Below are 21,960 nucleotides of genomic sequence, written 5' to 3' on the forward strand. Positions count from 1 at the left end.
GTATACACACACACTTCTCTTCTATATTTATTTCTGTATCCATTTCCGTATATATTAAAGACCAAGAGCTCACACGGATACCTTTGACTCCAATCAAATGCCACAGAATTTGTTCTAGCCTTTCTTCTTATTTTTAAGCCTTTTCTCAGAAAGTGAGAAACTTGGTTTCTCAACCACAATATATTTTCTTAGTTATTCAACACTGTGTGTGTGTGTGTGTGTGTGTGTGTGTGTGTGTATAAGGATTATAGTATATATTCATACATAGTTATAGATATAGTATATATAGTATATTATATACCATAACTATACTATATTTATACTATATTATATACACACAGTTTCAGAATTGCTAACTTACACCCTATGAAAAAGATTTACTAACTTACAATATTTGTTTAGCATTTTTTTTTTAAACCTTAACCTTACAGAATACAATAAGTACTGTTTTCCAAGTTTACTTACGTTAGTTGTTTTAGTTCTCAATCCTTTCAGCGTGATTGTATTATTCATTTGTAATACTTTTAGGTTCATTTGTTGCTGTTTGTATTTCGTTTTGGGTTCTGCCCACATCGTGGTTTATTTAAAGTACTCATTTATTTCATGTTACTTCATAGAGATCTTCCCTTTTCTTCTTTTTAAAAAAATATTTTATTTTTAAATTTTAACCTATGTATGTATTTGTTTGTTTATTTTGAGACTGGGTTATGAGACTGGCTAATTTTTGTATTTTTGGTAGAGATGGGGTTTCACCATGTTGCCAAGGCTGGTCTTGAACTCCTGGGCTTAAGTGATCGACCCGTCTTGGCCTTCCAAAGTGTCGGGATTACAGGCGTGAGCCACCACACCTGGCCGAGATCATCCTTATTCTTTTTGTACCGCTGTATACTACTTATTTTGTAGATTGTGCATTGTTTATTCAATTACTCTCCCAACAATGGGCATCAAGATTGTTTCCAATATTTTACAGTTATAAACTGCCGTAATGACTATGCTAGTATAGAGCAGTATTATTTTTGTAATTTAGATAAAAAAACACATCTACCACCTTACTTGTGTCCATACCAGCTCCTATTCAGTTGTGTAGAAACTTCTGCATATAAAAGTGCTAGTCAGTATTACTATATGAAAGTTGCTATGCATGGTATTCTATTTTCCTAGAACATTCCAGTGACTTTCTACTCTTACCTAAAGCTTACTGGTAAATCTTAAGTGCATTGATTAATAAATCTCTGGTATTACCATAATCTACTCATAAAATCATCCTATGATATTTTTATTACCACCTCCCCCAAAGTATAATGTCCTTAAGATATGAAATTCTGCAGTAAAACAGAACAAAAAGAAAAGCTTTTAAAAAATGTTACTGAAACTTCATTTGATGTAATATACAAAAATGTGATGGGGCTGTCCTCAGGTTAAATGGGCACTGATGGATGCACTGTAACTTGACTGGTTTGAGGACAGAAAATTGAACCTAAAATAAGGAAATTCTGACTGCTAAAGGAATTGAGGTCACTCAATACATTCATTTTCTCTCATCTAACAAAAAGACTACACATACCACTAATGCACTTGGCATTTTGATTTATTAAATATATATGTTAACTGAAGTCTGCCACCGACTGTTATAATCAGTATAGCTGAAATTACTCATCTGAAGCCTGTGAAGGCTGAAGTAAAAAAGTAAATTTTAAAAGGCTTAAGTAAAGTCCAGTCAAGCAAAACTTGATTTGAGCTTACTGCTGAGGTCTACAACATATTACATTACTGCAACCATTAGAAGTCCCACCAGTCACACCTGACTCTTCTCCTTTTTCAGGTGCTAATGTGCTTCTGTAGTGGCCTATTTCTGTTTCAGCCTTTGTAAGGCATCACAGAAAGGAAGGAACAAATATTTAAATTATAGAAAGTGAATGCAGTAAGTATAGGATTGACTCTAAAACAGTAGAAACAAATAAGCCTAATTATAGCATTTGAGAAACAGGGTGTATTCGTTTTCTCTGGCTGCTGTGACAAATTACCACAAATACAATGGCTTAAAACAACACACTGTTTGTTATCTTACTATCCTCTCTAGCTTACAAGTCAGACACATGTCTCTGCAGGCTAAAATCAAGATGTCAGCAGGGCTAGGTGCCTTCCTGGAGACTCGAGGGAAGAATCCATTTCCCTGTCTTTTCCACCTTCTAAAAACTGCCTTTGGTTCATGACTTCCTTCCTCTGTCTTCAAACCGAGCAACACCGCACCTCTTTGACCATTCTCCTTCTGTCTGTCTTCTGCCTCCCTCTTCCATTCTGAGTGATTATTATACATTGGGCCCCCTCAGATAATCCAGGATAATACCTCTATTTTAAGGTCAGCTGACTGGCAACCATAATTCCCTCTTTGCTATGTAAGCTATCATATTTACAGGGATTATTCTGCTTATCAGGAAAATTATTTCATTTCTCTGAAACTCCTGTTTTTATTGTAGTAGAATTCTTAAAATATTTTGAGAAGCCATAATTTTAGCATGGAGACACGCCAAAATGAAACAATATTTGTTTGTGCCTTTTGAAAGGAGCTACATGCTTTCCTACTCATTTCTTCCTCTTTATTTCTCAGATTTTGAATTTATTCCTGTTTATTTTTAAAGTTCCTGGGTGTTAAGGTAGGTTTGTTCCAGGGAAGGATAGAGAAAAATCTAAGATCATTTCTTGAGAGCAGAAGAGAAATTTGTAAAGAATTGAGCTATAGCTGAAGTCTACCCTCTTTGGTTAATAATTCACAGGGAATACAATGATGAACAGACTTTTTTTTTTAAAGTAATAATTTTGTTTCATAGGGTATTCTTTGTGAAGAATTTATGTAGACATATTCACAGAGCCTTGTTCTGTTTTCTTGGTCTGGGAACCAGTATATTTTAAGGAAGTTTCTTCTGTACAGTGCCTGTATTCTGGTGATGTTTTGTAAGCTTGTTTAAAGTTGTTCACTCTTACCACATCTGGCCATTTGAGTTTTACAGAGAGTTAGAGTCATGGCCTGAGCCTATTTTCCAGAAAGATTTTTTAAATTTAATTTTTATATATTTTGGGAATACAGATGCAGATTTTTCACATGTGTATATTGTGTAGTGGTGAAATCTAGGCTTTTAGCATACCCATCACCTGAATAATGATCATTGTACCTATTGGTAAATTCTAAGCCCTCACCTCCTTCCCATCCTCCTACCTTTTGTAGTTTCCAGTGTCTGTTATTCCACTCTGTATGTCCAGCTGTACCCATTGTTTAGCTCCCACTTATAAGTGAGAGCATGTGGTATGTGACTTTCTGTTTCTGAGTTATTTCACTTATAATAATACCCTCTAGTTCCATGTTACTGTGAAAGACATGATCTCATTCTTTTTTATGGCTGAGTAATATTCCATGGTGTATGTGTATTTCCCACACTTCCAGAAACAGTTTACCTGAAATCTCTCGGAGTAGGAATTTTTGGGTGTCACAATAAGAGTCGGAGATAGGAACACTGGATTAGAAGTCGGGATGAGTGTTAGTCTGGATTTATTTATTTTCACTAAATATGTTTTGGGTACCTACCAGCTAGTAATTTTAAATAAGATAATGGCATTTTTTTAAACCTTCCTGGAGAATTTGTTCCATTATTCTTTTAAATCTGGAAAATGTTCATATTTAATTATTATATCCCCTCCATTGTTTCTGTGCCCCTTTTCTAGAACTTCTAATAATTGGCTGTTATATCTCTGTTGAGCCTCTTTTTCATTTTCTCTTTGTTTTCATTTATTTTTTAAACCTTTGTTCTTTTACCTTTTTTGGCCTTTTTTTTTTTTTTGAGAGATTTCATAGAGTTTATTTTTAAACCAGGCAATCACTTAACCCTTTATGGAAATTTCAAATATATTCACTTGTTATTTTCTGTCTTTTTTTCTTTCTTTCTTTCTTTAAGTAACCATCTTACTGGGCGTTAAGTGGTATTTTATTGTGGTTTTGATTCGCTTAGTCTCAAATGAGGTTGAACTTTTTTGTGTGTTTATTGTCTATTTGTATATCTTTAGAGAAATGTTTTTTCAAGTCTTTTGCCCATTTAACTGGGCTGTTTGTGTTTTTGTTGTTGAGTTGTAAGAGTTGTTTATATTTTCTTGATACCAGATTCTTATCAAATGTGTGAATTGCAAATATTTTCTCCCATTCTGTAGGCTTCTTGATAATGTCCTTTGATATACAAGTTTTTAATTTTTATGAAGTCCAGTTTATCTATTTTTGTTGTCATTGTTTATGCTCTTAATGTCGTATCAAAGAATTCATTACCAGTCCAAAGTAAAAGTCACAAAGACTTATCCTTATGTTTTTGTTTCGTTTTGTTTTTTAAAAAAGTCGGGGTTTTGCTATGTTGCCCAGGCTGGTCTTGAACTCCTGGACTCAAGCAGTCTGCCTGCCTTGGCCTCCCGAAGTGCTAGAAATACAGATGTGAGCCACCGCACCCAGCCTCTTTTGTTTTTTTCCTGAGAGTTTTATGGTTTTAGTTCTTATATTGAGGCCATTGATCCATTTTATGTTTTTGTATATGGTGTGAGGTAATGATCTGACTTCATTCTTTTGCCATTGGTTGACAGTTTTTTTCTTTCACCATTTTAAAAGTGCCATCTGAGACCAGGCACAGTGGTGCATGCCTGTAATCCCAGCACTTTGGGAGGCTGAGGCGGGTGGATCACCTGAGGTCAGGAGTTTGAGACCAGCCTGGCCAACATGACGAATCCTCATCTCTACTAAAAATACAAAAATTAGCCTGGTGTGGTGGCGGGCACCTGTAATTCAAGCTACTTGGGAGGCTGAAGCAGGAGAATTGCTTGAACCAGGGAGGTGGCAGTTGCAATGAGTGGAGATCGTGCCACTGCACTCCACTTGGGCAACAAAAGCGAAACTCCATCTCTAAATAAATAAATAAATGCCATCTGTAGCCGGGTGCCATGTCTCACACCTGTAATCTTAGTACTTTGGGAGGCTGAGGCAGGCAGATCGCTTGAACTGAATGAGAATGAAAATATATTTTATCAAAATTTGTAGAATGTAACTAAAGCAGTGCTTAGAAGGAAATTTATAGTGATGAATACTTGCATTAGAAAAGAAGAAGGGTCTCAAATCAGTAATCAAAGCTTGTACCTTAAGAAACTAGTAAAAAATCAAATTAATTCCAAATCAAGTAGAAGGAAGGAAATAATCAGGAAAACAGAGATTAATGGAATTAAAAGCCCAAAAGTAATTGAGAAAAAGCAACGAAATTGAAAGGTGGTCTTTGAAAAGATCAATAAAATTGATAAACATTTAGCAAGACTGACAAAGGCATAGTGAAACAAAGATTACAGGGTTGAAGGAAAAAGATACCGCTACAAACTCCACAGACATTAAAAAGATAATGAGAGAAAACTATGAGAAATTAAGCACATAAATTTTTACTACTTGAGTGGACCAATTCCTTAAAAGCACAAACTACTAAACTTCACCCAAGTTGAAATAGATAATTTGAATAGCCCTATAACCATTAAAGAATTTACTCTGTGGAAAAAAAAATTCCAAAAAAGATCTTGTCCACATGGTTTCACTGGCCAATTTTACCAAACAATTAATGAAGAAATAACAGTAATTCTACATAGACTTTTCCTGAAAGTAGAAGAAAATGGAAAGAGATCCCCAATTTATTTTACAAATCCAGCAATAACCTCACACTAAAACCAGACAAATAAATTATATGAAAAGGAAACTGCAGTCCAATATCCCTCATTAACATCGTAGTGCATGCTTGTAATTTTATGTGGCTTCAGCAGCCATTTCAAATGCAGGTTTAACTTTCTAGTGCCAGAGGCAGAGGCAGGCCATAGTCACCCTTGACACAGTTTCCAGTTCTATACTACACCCAAATGACAAGCTGGTGGCCAGAGGTAAGAATTGAGAGGCATGACTCCTGCCTAGCAGACAGCGTTCTCTTTCCCACAGCTTGCATTAAATGGACCATTCACTTATTTGCTAATGAACTTAAAGTGACCACACCCTATTTCCCAATAGTACTAGTTGCCAAACTCTTTTTCTCTCTACCTGCTTGTGCTCCGCATGTGGCCTCAAGGCATTCCCTGTATGCTTCAAGTTCTGTAAGTACTTAAAAACTCTTAAATTTTCGCATTGTGTGTGTTTCATTGAAGCCATGTCCACAATCTGACCCATAACTGCAATGCCTGCCCTGAAGCGATCCATGCAAGTGAATACCGTATGAGCACTCTTTTGTCTGGGCCTCTGGTGGCTGCTGGTGACAGTAGCTCCCAGCCTGTGTTGACAGAGAAACTTGAAGAGTTTTATTCAAAATAAAGATAGTCTTAAAAGTCTTAATATAATGTCAGCATATTGAAACTAACATGTAAAAACAAAACAAAACAAAAATATAATGTCAGCAAATTGAAACCAACATGTAAAACAATGAAACAAAACAAAAACCAAACACTATTTGCCAAATGGGCTTATCCTAGGAATGCAAGGTTGAAAATCGATCAGTATAATCTATCATGTTAACAGTCTTATGGGAAAACAAATCCTAACAATTGTTGGAGAAAAGACATTTCATTTAGCAAAATATAACATCAATTAATGACCTTTGCAAACTAATAGAAAATAACTTGACATCTTCAAAAAACCTACAGCTAACATTATGTTAATACTTAATGAAGAAAGATTAAATGCTTTTCTCCTAAATTCGAGAACAAGACAAATATGTCCATTCTCACCACTCTTATTCAATGTAGTTAATGAAGTTCAGCCAGTGTTATAAGCCAAGAGAAAGAAAGAAAAGGGATTTTTATTTTCAGATGACATTCTCTACGTGGAAGACTCAACATATTTAAGATGTCACTTCTTCCTAAATTTATAAAGACTTAATGCAATTTTTTCATCAAAACCCTGGAAATACTTTTTTGTAGATATAGACAGGCTTGTTCTAAAATTTATATAAAAAAGCAAGGGAACTAGAGTAGCTTACACAATTTTGAAAAATAAGAATAAAGTGGCAAGAATTACTCTACCTGATGTAAAGACTTAATAGTTACAGTCATCAAGAGAGCGTGGTATTGGCAGAAGCATAGACACATAGATCAATGGAACGGAATAGAGAACCCTGAAGTAGACCTACACAAATATGCCCAAGTGATTTTTGAAAAAGGTTAGAGGCAGTTTAACAAATAGTACTGAAACAATTGGATATCCATAGGTAAAACAAAGTAAAACAAAATAAATCTCAACCTAAACCTCTCACCACCTATTAAAATTAATTCAGAATGGATCATCGATCATATAAAATGTGAACTATGAAACTTTAAAAGAAATATAGAAGAAAATCGTTAGGAACTAGGGCTAAGCAAAGAGTTCTTTGATATTAAAAACATAATCCATAAGAAAGAAATTGACAAATTGAACCTCATTAAAAGAAAAAATGTTTGCATTGCAAAAAACTCTATTAAGAGGATGAAAACAAGCTACAGCGTGGGAGAAGAACTTTGCAAACCATATATCTGACAAAGTTCTCGTGTCCAAAATATCTAACAAACTCTGAAGTTGAACAATACAAAATATCAGCAATTTAATTAGAAAAGGAGTAAGAGACTTTGACATTTCACCAAAGAGGAGATATGGATGGGAAATAAGGACATGGAAAGACATTCATCATAATTAACCCTTAGGAAATTGCAAATTAAAATCACATTCTATACACCTATAGAATAACCAATATAAAAAATTGTGATAAAACCAAATGCTAGTGAAAATGCCGAGAAACAACATTTCTTATATTTCTGATGGAAATTAAAATGGTTCAGCTGGAAAAAATATATACAAATGCTCCAAGCTAAATAAATTGGGCTGGAAAAAGCCTCTTTGTGCTCTAGAAGATAACAAATGAGAGACAGAGTTTGTCTTTGTTCAGATTATGGAAAATAATTCAAAAGTTACAGATTTAGAGAGGGAATACACCTTGAATTCATTTCTAAACCAACAATCTTTGAAAATAGGGTTGCCATCTTGATTTTCTGGTCCAGATCACAAGGGAGTAAGACTAGCTTTAAATTTAACATTCATTACCCAGGTTGCTCTGTAGCCAGATGCCAAAGGGTCACATCCTGTGGCACACAAGGAGCCACCTCTGTTCTGATTTCATTAAACTCCCCTGAAATCCACAGGATACACAGGGGGCTCCATGCCTTGATCCTCAGTATCAAATGACTGTAATTTCACTATGCCAACCCCTTCGAAACAAACTTACCCCTCCAGTTCCTTTTGTTGATGGGGAAGCAGGTTGGAGTATTCTCAGCTTACTAACAAAGTTGTTTAAGGAGTCTTCTTAGTCCTTTGACCTATTGCTCCCATTTTCTTGATTTTAAGTGTTGTTTAATATTGGACAGGATTAGTCATGCAAATACTTAAAAGTGAGTGGACAGGAAGCAAGCATATGCCACTGGTACAAACGGGATATGGAGCTCAAGCTGCTTGATTTTGTTTCACACTAAATGAAATTAGTGCTTGTTTAGGACAAACCTGGTGGGCCACCACAGTCGAGCATGTTTGTCCGATTAGCTAGTGAACTACTAAATGTGTGTTCTGTTCCAATTGGATCATTGTCCTCAAAAGTCAATTTTTAAAAGTTTGACTTAAAAAAAACAAGATTCCTATAACTAATAAGTGAGTTTAGCAATGTTGCAAGATACAAAATCAATGCACACAATTCTTGTTTCTCTGTATCATCAATGACTAGTTATAAACTTGAGTAAATATAACAATGTTGTTTATAAGATCTACCAAAACACTTAGGTATAAATCTAACAAAGTCTATACTGAAGAGTATAGGGATCTTATGAAAGAAATTACAGAAGATCTAAATAAAAATATGACCTACATAAATACATAAAGTAATGTGGTGTTCATGAATTGGAAGACTCAGTGTAGTGAAGACATCACTCCATCCCAAAGTGATGCAATACCAATCAGAATCCCAGCAGGAGTACCAATATGTTTTGTTGGAAAAAGCAGAACAAAGCTGGAGGAATTGTACTAACCCATTTTAAAGCTACAGCAATCAGGACACTGTAACATTGACAAAGGGACAGTCAGGTAAATCAATGGAACGTAATAGAGGCTCCAGAAAAGAAATGGAACCACATAAAGATGGCCTGTGGATCTTTGACAAAGATGTAAAAGAAACTCAGTGGAGAAATCTTTCAACAAATGTTGTTGGAACCATTTGATCGTTCATATATTAAAAAACAAAAATTGAACTTTGACTAAAATTTTACATCTTATTCAGAAATTATTCCAAAATCGATCTTTGGTGTAATTGTGAAGTGTAAAACTGTAAGAAAACATTTTAAAATACTATGACCTGGAGATTAGGTGAAAAGTTATTAGAAATTATGCCAAAAGCATGATCCATAAAAAATTAACTGGATTACATTAAATTAAAAACCTTTGTTATACCAAAGATACTGTCAAGAAACAATAAAAAGTTAAATTACAGACTAGGAGAAAATATTTGTGACTCACATATCTGTCAAAAGACTTTTATCCAGAATGTATAAAGAACTCTTAAAAGTCAGCAATAAGTAAGTAGACAACCCAAATAAAAAAATGTATAAGAGACCTGAATAGACACTTTATCAAAAAGGATGTAAGAGTGGCACATAAACATGTAAAAGTGTGTTCAACATCATTAGCAAATTCAGGCCATGCTGAGACACCACTGCACACCTATTAGAAGAGCTAAAATAAAGATTACTGACAGTAACTAAGGGCTGTTGAGGATGCGGAGCAACTAGAAGTCTCATTCATTGCTGATTGATATGTGGAATGTTACAGCAACTCTGGGAAATGACCTAGCAGTTTCTTGAGAAGTAAACATACACTCACTGTATCATCTAGCAGTCCTACTCCTGGGTATTTACCATAGAAAAATGAGAGCTTATATTCACACAAAAAGTTGTACATGCATGCTTATAATAACTTCATGTATAGTAGTTAAAAACTAGAAAGAATCGAAATATCCTTCATTAGTAAACTGGTACACAAACTGTACATTCGCAGTGGAATAGTACTCAGCAGTAAAAAGAAACCAATGAACCTTAAAGGCATTATGCCGAGTGAATGAAGTCATTCTCAAAATGTTACATGCTGTATGATTCCATTTATATGATATTCTTGAAAGACAAAACTATGGTGATGGAGAACAGATCAGTGTTTGACAGAAGGTATGGATGGGAGGAGGGTGTAACTATAACTGGATAGTGTGAGGGACTTCTTCGAGGGTGAAGAAACTGTTCTGCATCCTAATTGCGTAGGTGTTTACACATCTATTTGTGCTTTAAAATTTATAAACTATACCCCCCAAAATTAATTTTACAGTGTAATTAAACTAATGATGGTGTCATTCATTTGTCAGAAACATTTGTAGTGGAGGAGATATGTGTGAAGGAAGCACTGACCCACCGTCTCACAGTTCACTCTATTTGAATAGAAATGTGTTCTCAAAGTCCAAGGAAGTTCTATGGTAAACCTGCTCATATGTGCTCAGAGTTTTAATTCCAGTCAGTCTTACGGGAAGCCTCTGGAAGCCAGAGAATATACATATTTGGGTTTTCATTGTCATACTCCCAAGTAATGATTGCATTTTAATGGTCTACTAAGGAAAACAGGTCTATATGGATGTTGGCTCCCAATAAGTGCAGGACTGCCAGTTAGAGAAAGAGGCTGCCACAACAAACAGGGAATAGAAACTCTTTCCCACATTAACCAATTTCCGCACTGCGTGGTTTCCTCTTTTCCTGTAAAAATGCAGTTTCTACCCTGTGCAGATGATTTCTAAGCTGGTGAAGAAAAGTTAGAGTAAGTTAATTTTTTTTTCTCCTATTACCTGAACCCTTACTCTAATTCTAATGATATCTGTGATGTCACTCTTCTCAAAATCTGATGTTAAACATAGACCTCCCCAAAAGATGGACAAGGGAAGAATTGCCTAAAGCAGATGTTAGAATTCAGTAATCTTACTCTACGGTGTTTTGTCAGACTTACTGTTCAACATCTTCTGGTTGTCATCTATTTGGTAATGACTCCCACAATTTAAATCTCTTTGCTTAACCTAGACCCCTATATTCAGTTGTCCTTTGAATTTGTCTTCTCAAAGATGCAGCATGCACATCAAAATAATTGGGCTTCAAAACTATGTATTCTTTTACATTCTACCAGATTTGGCCTTCCTTTTTGGTTTTGCTTCCATTATTGTTTTATTTATTTAATCTTTTCCAGCTTTATTGAGGTTGACTTTCCTTTTTTTGTTTTGCTTCCATCATTTGTTTTATTTACTTGTTTAATCTTTTCCAGCTTTATTTAGGTTGGCCTTCCTTTTTTATGCTATATTTTAGTTAATAAGCATCATACATTTGTTTCTCAAGCCAGGAGCTAAGGAGTCATCCATGGCTTCTTGCTTACTTCTCAGTTAACTTTCGTCCTGTAGAGTCTAACTCCTCAGTGTGTTTCATTACTGCTTATTCTTTGTTCTCACTGACACTGATTAGTATCAGGCCACTGACATATGCCACATGGATTCTGCAATAGCAACAAAACTGGTTTTTCTGTCTCACTTAAATCCATTCTCTGCACTGCAGCCAGAATAATACTTCTCTAGTGCAAATCTCAATTTGTCACTTTTTAAAACTCTTTAGTTTTGTTTACCTGGGCATATCCTGTACCCAGGTTAGTGCTTTGCATATATTAGTAGTGTTATTTGTAAATTATTGAGAATGTTATTCTGGATCAATGCCTAGCCCCCCAAATTGGCTGGCTGCCAAGACTGATGGTACCACACATGTACCAAAAGTATTTGAAAAGACTTAACTCACAAAATGAGACTTTCTGGGGAGAACAGGGCAGTCACCCACACTGGTTCACAATGGTTTGCATGGAGGGGAGGGGCGGGTGGCACTGATATTTGTCATGGTTAGTGAATGGGCTGGGTTGAAGGTTCCCACATGGCAGGCTGGTTTTGTGTGATTTGAACTTCCCAGGGGTGCCAGGACTTAATCCAACATGAAGTTTTACTTATTATAAAAGCCCTATGTCCTTTTTACATAAAGGAAAAATTTATTATTACAGAAAAGTAAAAAAAAAAATTAAAAACATAAGTATGTGATTACGTTGTCACATATTGGAAGATTATACTTGTCCTTCAGTTTATCACCTGCCAGATATTTGAATGTATTTTTCAGCATTAAAATTGTAGTCATATTGTGCATATGTAATCTGCTTATTTTCTTCTCCCCCATTTTACAGAGTGGATCTTTATCTAATGAGAGGAATGTTTGAAACATCATAAATAAGGATTTATTTATATATGTTTGATTTTCTTTTTTTCCTCTCTCTCCCTCCATTTTTTGCCTCTCTTCCTTCCTTCCTTCTTTCCTTCCGTGTTCCTCTTCCCCTTTCCTTTTCGACTGGGCTTTTTTAGTAACTTCATAGAGTGATATAATTATTCTGTCACCTTTACATTCATTAGAGTAGGCTCACTCCCATTCTTTGAGGCTGTATTTTTTAACCATTCATTATAAAATGAAAGGTACAGAAAATCACATAAAATGTAGCATTTAGTTGGTTATTAAAAGTTTGGCATCTTTTTAACAGTGGTGACAGTTCTCCTTTCACTGATTCAGTGCTGCTCAGCAGGCCCTGCTCTGGACTTAGAGCACAACACTATATTGCTTTGGATTCTTTGCCGTGGCCTTAATTGTCAGATCTGGCCCAGGGTACCCAACACTGTCTTGTTTCACACATACTCAGACACACATACACAAACAGCCAAATGTTTCTTGAGAGGATATGATTTTGGGGGGAATGAAATTACTTATAATGCTTATTGTGATAAATGAGAAAACATAGGTACTGTAAATCAAAAAAATAAAAATCTCATTTCTTCTATTTTATTTTATTATGTTTATTTATTTATATTTTTTGAGACAGTCTCTCTCTCTGTTGCCTGGGCTGGAGTGCAGTAGTGCGATCTCGGCTCACTGCAACCTCCACCTCCCGGGTTCAAGAGATTCTCCTGCCTCAGCCTCCTGAGTAGCTGGAATTACAGGTGCCTGCCACAACGCCTGGCTAATTTTTGTATTTTTAATAAAGACGGAGTTTCACCATGTTGGCCAGGGTGGTCTTGAATTCCTGACCTCAGGTGATCTGCCCGCCGTGGCCTCTCAAAGTGCTGGGATTATAGGCATGAGCCACCGCGCCTGGCCTATTTATTTATTTAAAAAAATTTTTTTTTTGTAGAGATGGGATCTCCTTATGTTGCCCAGGCTGGTCTCAAACTCCTTGGCTCAAGCGATCCTCCTGCCTCAGCCTCCCAAAGTGCTGAGAATACAGGCATTAGCCACTTTGCCCATCCAGAAATCTCATATTTCTAAAAGTTAATCTGTATTTTGGTTTCTTTCCAAGTATTTTCTATGTATATTATAGTGTTTTTATTTTCATAAAATGGTTAATTCTGTACATGCTGTTTTAGATAACTGCTTGATTGCTCTCTTTTTTTTTTTCTTAAACCAGTTAACTTCTAGTTCTTTAACACAGAACTATGTTCAAATGGAAAACATTTGTGAAGAAGCATAAGGAACATTTTGGAGTTAATGTATATGTTTGTTGTCTTGATTTTGATGATGTTTCCGTACCATGACTGTAATGTCAACATTTATCAGTTTATTTTTCTTCGACTTTTATTTAAGTTTATGGGTACATGTACAGGACATGCAGGTTTCTTACACATGTAAATGTGTGCCATGGTGGTTTGCTGCACAGATAATTCTATCATCCAGGTATTAAGCCCAGCATCCATTAGTTATTCTTCCTGATCCAATCCCTCCTCCCACCCCCTGCCCTCTGCTAGGTCCCAGTGCATGTTGTTCCCTGCAATGTGTCCATGTGTTCCCATCATTCAGCTCCCACATGTAAGTGAGAACGTGCGGTCTTTGGTTTTCTGTTCCTGCGTTAGTTTGATGAGGATGTCTTCCAACTCTAATGATGTCCTTGCAAAGGACATGATCTCATTCCATTTTGTGGTTGCATAGTATTCCACGGTGTATATGTACCACAGTTTCTTTATCTGGTCTGTTATTAATGGGAATTTAGGTTGATTCCATGTCTCTGCTACTGTGAATAGTGCTGTAATGAACATATGCATGCATGTATCTTTATATAATAGAATTATTTATATTTCTTCAATTATATATCCAGTAATGGGATTACTGGGTCAAATGGCATGTCTGCCCCTAGGTCTTTGAGGAATTACCACACCATCTATCACAATGGTTGAACTAATTTATACTTCCACCAACAGTGTAAAAGTGTTCCTTTTTCTTCACAGCCATACCAGCATCTGTTGATTTTTGACTTTTCAATAATAGCCATTCTGACTGGTGTGAGATGGTATCTCATTTTGGTTTTTATTTGCATTTCTCTAATGATCATTGATGTTGAGCTTTTCTTCATCTTTGTTGGCTGCATGTATGTCTTCTTTTGAGAAGTGTCTGTTCATGTCCTTTGCCCATGTTTTATTGGGATTGTTTGCTTATTTTCTAGTAAATTTGCTTAAGTTTCTTGTAGAGTCTAGTGACTAGACCTTTGTCAGACGGATAGATTGCAAAAATTTTTCTCCCATTCCATAGGTTGTCTGTTCACCCTTATGATAGTTTCCTTTGCTGTGCAGAAGCTCTTAATTAGATCCCATTTGTCAATTTTTGCTTTTGTTGTAATGCTTTTGGCATTCTCATCATGAAGTATTTGCCTGTGCCTAAATCTTTACCTGAATGGTATTGCCTAGATTTTCTTCTAGGGTTTTTATAGTTTTGGGTTTTACATTTAAGTCTTTAATCCATCTTGAGTTAATTTTTATGTGTAGTGTAAGGAAGAAGTCCAGTTTCAATTTTCTGCGTATGACCAGCCAGTTCTTCCAGCACCATTTATTAAATAGGGTGTCCTTTCTCTGTTGCTTGTTTCTGTCAGGTTTGTGGAAAATCATATGGTTATAGGTGTGCAGTCTTATTTCTGAGTTCTCTATTCTGCTCCGTTGGTCTATGTATCTATTCTTATACCAGTACTGTGCTGTTTTGGTTACTGTAGCCTTGTCTGTAAAGTGAGGTAGCATGATGCCACCAGAATCTGGGTGCTCCTGTATATAGGCTCCTGGGTGCCTATATATTTAGTTCTTTTTGCTTAGGATTGTCTTGGCTGTTTGGGCTCTTTTTTGGTTCCATATGAATTTTAAAATAGTTTTTTTCTAATTCTGTGAAGAATGTCAATGGTAGTTTAATGGGAATAACATTGAATCTATAAATTCGTTTCGGCAGTATGGCCATTTTCATGATATTGATTTTACCAACCATCCATGAGTGTGGAATGGTTTTCCATTTGTTTGTTTCCTCTCTGATTTCTTTGAGCAGTGGTTTGTAGTTATCCTTGAAGAGGTTCTTTACTTCCATTGTTAGCTGTGTTAATACGTACGTATTCTCTTCTTTTTGTGGCAGTTATGAATGGGACTTCATTCATGATTTGGTTCTCAGCTTGCCGGTTGTTGGTGTTTAGGGATGCTATCCATTTTTGCACACTGATTTTGTATCCTGAGACTTTGCTGAAGTTGCTTATCAGTTTAAGAAGCTTTGGGGCTAAGATGATGGGGTTTTCTAGATATAGAATTATCTCATCTGCAAACAAAGATAATTTGACTTCTTCTCTTCCTATTTGAATACCTTTCATTTCTTTCTCTTGACTGATTGCCCTGGCCAGAACTTCCAGTACTATGTTGAATAGGAGTGGTGAGAGAGGGCATCCTTGTCTTGTGCTGGTTTTCAAGGGGAACGCCTCCAGCTTTTGCCCTTTCAGTATGATATTGGTTGTGGGTTTGTCATATATGGCTCTTATTATTTTGAGGTATGTTCCTTCACTGCCTAGTTTATTGAGTGTTTTTAACATGAAGAGATGTTGAATTTTATCGAGGGTCTTTTCTGCATTTATTGAGATAGTCATGTGGTTTTTGTCTTTAGTTTTGTTTATGTGATAAATCACATTTATTGATTTGCGTATGTTGAAACAGGCCTTGCATCCCAGGTGGATAAGCTTTTTGATGTGCTACTGCCTTCTGTTTGCCAGTATTTTGTTGAAGATCTTTGCATTTATGTTCATCAAGGATATTGGCCTAAAGTTTTCTTTTTTTTTATTGTATCTCTGCCAGGTTTTGGTATCAGGATGATGGTGACCTCATAGAATGAGTTAGGGAGGAGTCCCTCCTTTTTAATTTTTTTGAATAGTTTTAAGTAGAACTGCTACCAGCTCTTCTTTGTGTACCTCTGATAGAATTCAGATGTGAATCTGTCTAGTCATGGGCTTTTTTTTTTGGTTGGTGGGCTATTTATTACTGGCTCAATTTTAGAGCTCGTTATTGGTCTGTTCAGGGAATCAGTTTCTTCCTGGTTCAGTCTTGGGAGGGTTGTTGGGGTGATCAGACCCAACAGCAGGTCGTGGGGGGACGAAGTCTGGTGGAATCAAAGGAATGAGAAAAAGACAGTTTGAGAGAGAAAGTGGGACCAGGGGGCCATTGTGAATGTGGAGGCTGTGAAGGCCCTGAGTTCTGGGAGCCCATGCTATTTATTGGTGCTCAAAGAGACAGGTGGTGAGGATGTGGGGGTTGAAAGGAAATGGTGTATCAAGTGAACCAGAAACATATGGGTACTTGAGATAATGGGAGTGCTAGAAGCAAGGAGCCAGCAAGTCTAGCAGACATGTAAGCCCTGCCTCAGCTTCTCTTCCAGCTACTCAGCTTTTCTCCCAAAAAAGGTGTATGTGTCCAGGAATTTATCTGTTTCTTGTAGATTTTCTAGTTTATGTGCATAGAGGTGTTTATAGTATTCTCTGATGATTGTTTCTATTTCTGTGGGGTCAGTGGTGATATTCCCCTTATCATTTCTGATTATGTTTCTTTGATTCTTCTCTCTTTTCTTCTTTACTAGTCTAGCTAGTTGTCTATTTTATTAATTTTTTCAAAAAACTGTTCCTGGATTCATTGATTTTTTTTTTTTTTTTGAAGGATTTCTGTGTCTCCATCTTCTTCAGTTCAGCTCTGATCTTGGTTATTTCTTGTCTTCTGCTCACTTTGGGGTTGGTTTGCTCTTGGTTCTCTAGTCCTTTTAGTTGTGATGTTAGGTTGTTAACTTGAGATCTTTCTAGCTCTTTGATATGGGCATTTCGTGCTATAAATTTCCCTCTTAACAGTGCTTTAGCTGCATCCCAGAGATGGTGGTATGTTTTCTCTTTGTTCTCATTACTTTCAAAGAACTTGATTTCTGCCTTACTTTCATGATTTTCTCAAGAGTCATTCAGGAGATGGTTGTTCAGTTTCCATGTAGTTGTGTGGTTTTGAGTGAATTTCCCAATCTCGAGTTCTAATTTGGTTGCACTATGGTCCAAGAGACTGTTATGATTTCAGTTCTTTTGCATTTGCTGAGGAGTGTTTTACTTTTGATTATGTGATCAATTTTGGAGTAAGTGCCCTGTGGCCATGAGAAGAAATGCATATTCTGTTGTTTTTGGGTGGAGAGTCCTGTATATATCTATCAGGTCTACTTGATGCAGAGCTGAGTTCAGATCCTGAATATCTTTGTTAAATTTCTGTCCTGATGATCTTTCTAATATTGTCATTGGGGTATTAATGTCTCCCACTATTATTGTGTGGGAGTCTGCGTCTCTTTGTAGGTCTCTAAAAACTTGCTTTCTGAATCTTGGTACTTCTATGTTGGCTGCATATATATTTAATAAGATAGTTAGCTCTTCTTGTTGAATTGAACCTTTTACCATTATGTAATGCCCTTCTTTGTCTTTTTTGATCTTTGTTGGTTTAAAGTCTATTTTGTCAGAAACCAGGATTGCAACCTCTGCTTTTTTTATGTTTTCCATTTGCTTGGTAAATATTCCCCTTCCCTTTATTTTGAGCCTATGTGTGTCTTTGTATGTGAGATGGGTCTTTTGAAGACAGCATACCGATGGATCTTGGCTAATTATTTAGCTTGCCATTTTGTGTCTTTTAATTGGGGCATTTAGCCCATTTACATTTAAGGTTAGTATTATTGTATGTAAATTTGATCTTGTCATCATGATGCTAGCTGGTTATTTTGCAGACTTGTTTATGTGGTTGCTTCATAGTGTCACTTGGTCTGTGTACTTCATTGTGCTTTTGTAGTAGCTGGTAATGGTTTTTCCTTTCTATATTTAGTGCTTCCGTCAGGAGCTCTTGCAAAGCAGACTTGGTGATGATGTATTCCATCGGCATTTGTTTGTCTGAAAAGGATCTTATTTCTCCTTTGCTTATGAAGCTTAGTTTGGCTGGATATGAAATTCTGGGTTGGAAATTCTTTTCTTTAAGAATGTTGAATATTGGCCCCCAACTTCTTCTGGCTTGTAGGGTTTCCACTGAGAGGTCTGCCATTAGTCTGATTGGCTTTCCTTTGTAGATGACCTGGTCTTTGTCTCTGGCTGCCCTTAACATTTTTTTTTTTCATTTTGACCTTGAGAATCTGATGTTTATGTGTCTTGGGGTTGATCTTCTCTTGGAATATCTTATTGGGGTTCTCTGCAGTTCCTGAATTTGAATGTTGGCCTGTCTTGCTACACAGGGGAAGTTCTGGATGATATCCTGAAGTATGTTTCCCAAGTTGGTTCCATTCTCCCCATCTCTTTCGGGTATCCCAATCAGTTATAGGTTTGGTCTCTTTACATAATTGCATATTTTTCAGAGGTTTTGTTCATTTATTTTCATTCTTTTTTCTCTAATCTTGTCTGCTTGTTTTATTTCAGCAAGATAGTCTTTAAGCTCTGAGATTCTTTCCTCTACTTAGTCTATTCTGCTATTGATACTGGTGATTACATTGGGAAGTTCTCATGTTATGATTTTTAGCTCCATCAGGTCAGTTATGTTCCTCTCTCAACCAGCTATTTTGACTATCAGCTCCTGTGTTGTTTTATCATTCTGAGCTTCTTTGCATTGGGTAATAACATGCTCCTTTAGCTCAGCGAAGTTTGTTGTTAACTCACCTTCTGAAGCCTACTGTGTCAGTTCAGCCATCTCATCCTCAGCCCAGTTCTGTGCCCTTGCTGGAGAAGTGTTGCGGTCATTTGCAGGAGATGAGGCACTCTGGCCTTTTGAGTTTTCAGCGTTTTTGCATTGATTCTTTCTCATATTTATGGGCTTATCTACCTTCAATCTTTGAGGTTGCTGACCTTTGAATTGGGTTTTTGTGGGGTCTTTTTTGTTGATGGTTTTATTGCTGTTGTTTTCTGTTTGTTTTTCTTTTAACAGTCACGCTACTCCTCCAAAGGGCTGCTGGGGTTTGCTGGCATTCTTCTTCAGACCCTAGTTGCCTCAGTTTTTTTCTTACCTGGAGATATCACCAGTGAAGGCTGTGAAACAGCAAAGATGGCAACCTGATCCTCCCTCTGGAAACTCCATTCCAGAGGTTACTGACCTGTTGGCAGCCTGAAGGAGGCACCTGTGGGAAGTGGCTGGAGACCCTGTTGGGTGATCTCATCCATTTAGGAGAAACAGGATCAGGGACCTACTTAAAGAAGTAGTCTGGCTGCTTTTTGTTAGCACAGCTGTGCTGCGTTGTGGGGGACACTTTCTTGTTCGGACTGTCTGGACTCTCCTGAGCCAGCAGACTGGATCAGCTGAGTTGACCAGACGGCAGAGATGGCGGCTGCCCCTCCTCCTGGAAACTCAGTCCTTCTCAGGCAGACTCCTTGTTACTGCTGGCTGGCTGGAATTCCAAGTCAGTGGGTCTTAACGTGTAAGGTGCCGTGCAAGTGGGCCTGCAGATCGATGCTGCTTGGATCCTTGGATTCAGCTCCACTCCTAGTGGTATGTAGGGACAGATCTGCCTTGCTGGTAATCCCGGGGGTGGAATATGCAAAACTCATGTATCTCTGTGTGTGTGCCCAAGCTGCTGCTCTACCTGGACGCCACACAGCTCTGTGTATTGGTGACATGGGCTTATGAGAGGATCTCCTTATCCTCTGGTTGCAAAGACCTGTGGGAGAAGTGTGGTTTCCCCAGGTGGGATTGCACAATCACTCACCACTTCTCTTGGCAGAGGTTGGGGGTTCCTTTGGCTCCACATTGCTCCCGGGTGGACTGTTGCCCCACCCTGCTTTTCTTCATTTTCTGTGGGTCAGGCTGTTTGTCTAGTCAGTCCCAGTGTGAGAACCTGGATATTTCAGTTGAAGGTGCTGAGTTCACTCACTGCTTTCATTCCTCTCCGTGAGTGCCGCAGACTGTAACTGCTTCTAATTGGCCATCTTGGCACTCTCTCCTGTTTGCTTTAAATGTGTACAGTTTAATTGCATGTCAAACATTCTGCAATGGAGTTTTTAAAAATGAAAAAAAAATTTCCAGAGATTTTGTTTTTCAAATAATTTTTCTAGTTACTTTTAGTCTTTGGAGGGCCCAACACAAAATTGAATGTATTTGCATGGAACACCCAACATAGGAAACAGTTTTAATTTTATTCATATTGTCTGTAATAAAGTAGATATTTCCCTTCTATAAGAGTTTTTTTGGCTGGGCGCGGTAGCTCAAGTCTGTAATTCCAGCACTTTGGGAGGCCGAGGCAGGCAGATCATGAGGTCAGGAGATCGAGACCATCCTGGCCAACACAGTGAAACCCCGTCTCTACCAAAAATACACAAAAAAATTAGCCAGGCATGGTGGTGGGCGCCTGTAGTCCCAGCTACTCGGGAGGCTGAGGCAGGAGAATGGCGTGAACCCAGGAGGCGGAGCTTGCAGTGAGCCGAGATCGCGCCATTGCACTCCAGCCTGGGTGACAGCGAGACTCCGTCTCAAAAAAAAAAGAGTTTTTTATGACCATGATGTCTCAGTCTTTTAAAAGTTTGTTGGACTTTTGATCTTTTTACTTGTATATACTAAGGAAAGGTCTTATGATATTTGGATTCATTCTTGGATTGTAAGGACGCACCAGTGGGCTATAGGTCAAACTGAGTTTATTACCTTAACCTTAGTTTTTGTTTATTCAGTTCTTTAGGCTTCAGAACAACAGTCTTTGAAAATAAAACACTACTTTTTTAAGAAGAGATAATAGCTAGTAAGGTTGCAAATAAAAGCCAGCAGGGACTGCATATGCTAGGTTGAATAGTCTAGTCTTATCATAGAAAAAGAACAAATTGAGTCAAGCCAAGGAGGTGACAGAGTGCTTAATGGTAACAGGAGATGGGTTTGGCACAAGAAAGGAAATGGAATAACCACATTGTTAAAGACTTATTTTATTATTTATGTAAGTGGTCCAATCCCTGGAAATAATAGAACAGCCTCTCACCTCTTATACCAATTATGAATAAATTTTGGGCAATTCTTTACTATTTTTGATTCTTCAGTATTTTACCAGGGAAGATGTTAAAAACATGGACTTAAAAGTTTTTTAATATGAAAATAAAAATCTATTGGGGAGGAAAGACTAGGAGGAAGACTAGGAGAAGGATGTTAGAAATAGCTTAATTAAACTAGTTGAATCTATTTTTATTTTTAAAAAACTTGAAAACCTATTTTATTCTTTCAGTGCAGATAATGAGTGAATTCAGGATATCATATAGTTCGATTTTAAAAAATAATGGTTGACATATCCTTAGAGCTAGATTATGGTATATTTTTTACTGCTTTTGTTCACAGGATATTTTGAATAATCTTGAATCATGTGACCTTGAGGATGATGATCTTATGCTTGATGTGGATCTGCCTGAGGATGCACCTCTTGAAAATGGTAAGTTGAGACAATATTGAACCTTCAGAGGTATATACTTGAGCTACTCGACTGTAGCCAATTTGATATTTGTTACTTGCA

The 21,960-nt window shown here is 37.0% G+C and overlaps 1 protein-coding gene across 16 annotated transcripts in view; it reads left to right on the forward strand.

Annotated features, from left to right (window-relative positions):
* CCSER2 (coiled-coil serine rich protein 2) overlaps positions 1-21,960 on the forward strand; it is a 189,929-nt gene that overhangs the window by 67,394 nt on the left and 100,575 nt on the right. For 14 of the 16 annotated variants that reach the window (NM_001351290.2, XM_005269905.5, NM_001351292.2 and 11 more), the window contains one exon: positions 21,789-21,879. The exons of the other annotated variants lie outside the window; for them this stretch is intronic. In NM_001351290.2, coding sequence (NP_001338219.1) covers positions 21,789-21,879 — 91 coding nt within the window. The remainder of the gene's footprint in view (positions 1-21,788; positions 21,880-21,960) is intronic. 16 annotated transcript variants of the gene reach the window in all.

The sequence above is a fragment of the Homo sapiens genome, chromosome 10, assembly GCF_000001405.40.
Source record: "Homo sapiens chromosome 10, GRCh38.p14 Primary Assembly".
NCBI classification, from domain to species: domain Eukaryota; kingdom Metazoa; phylum Chordata; class Mammalia; order Primates; family Hominidae; genus Homo; species Homo sapiens.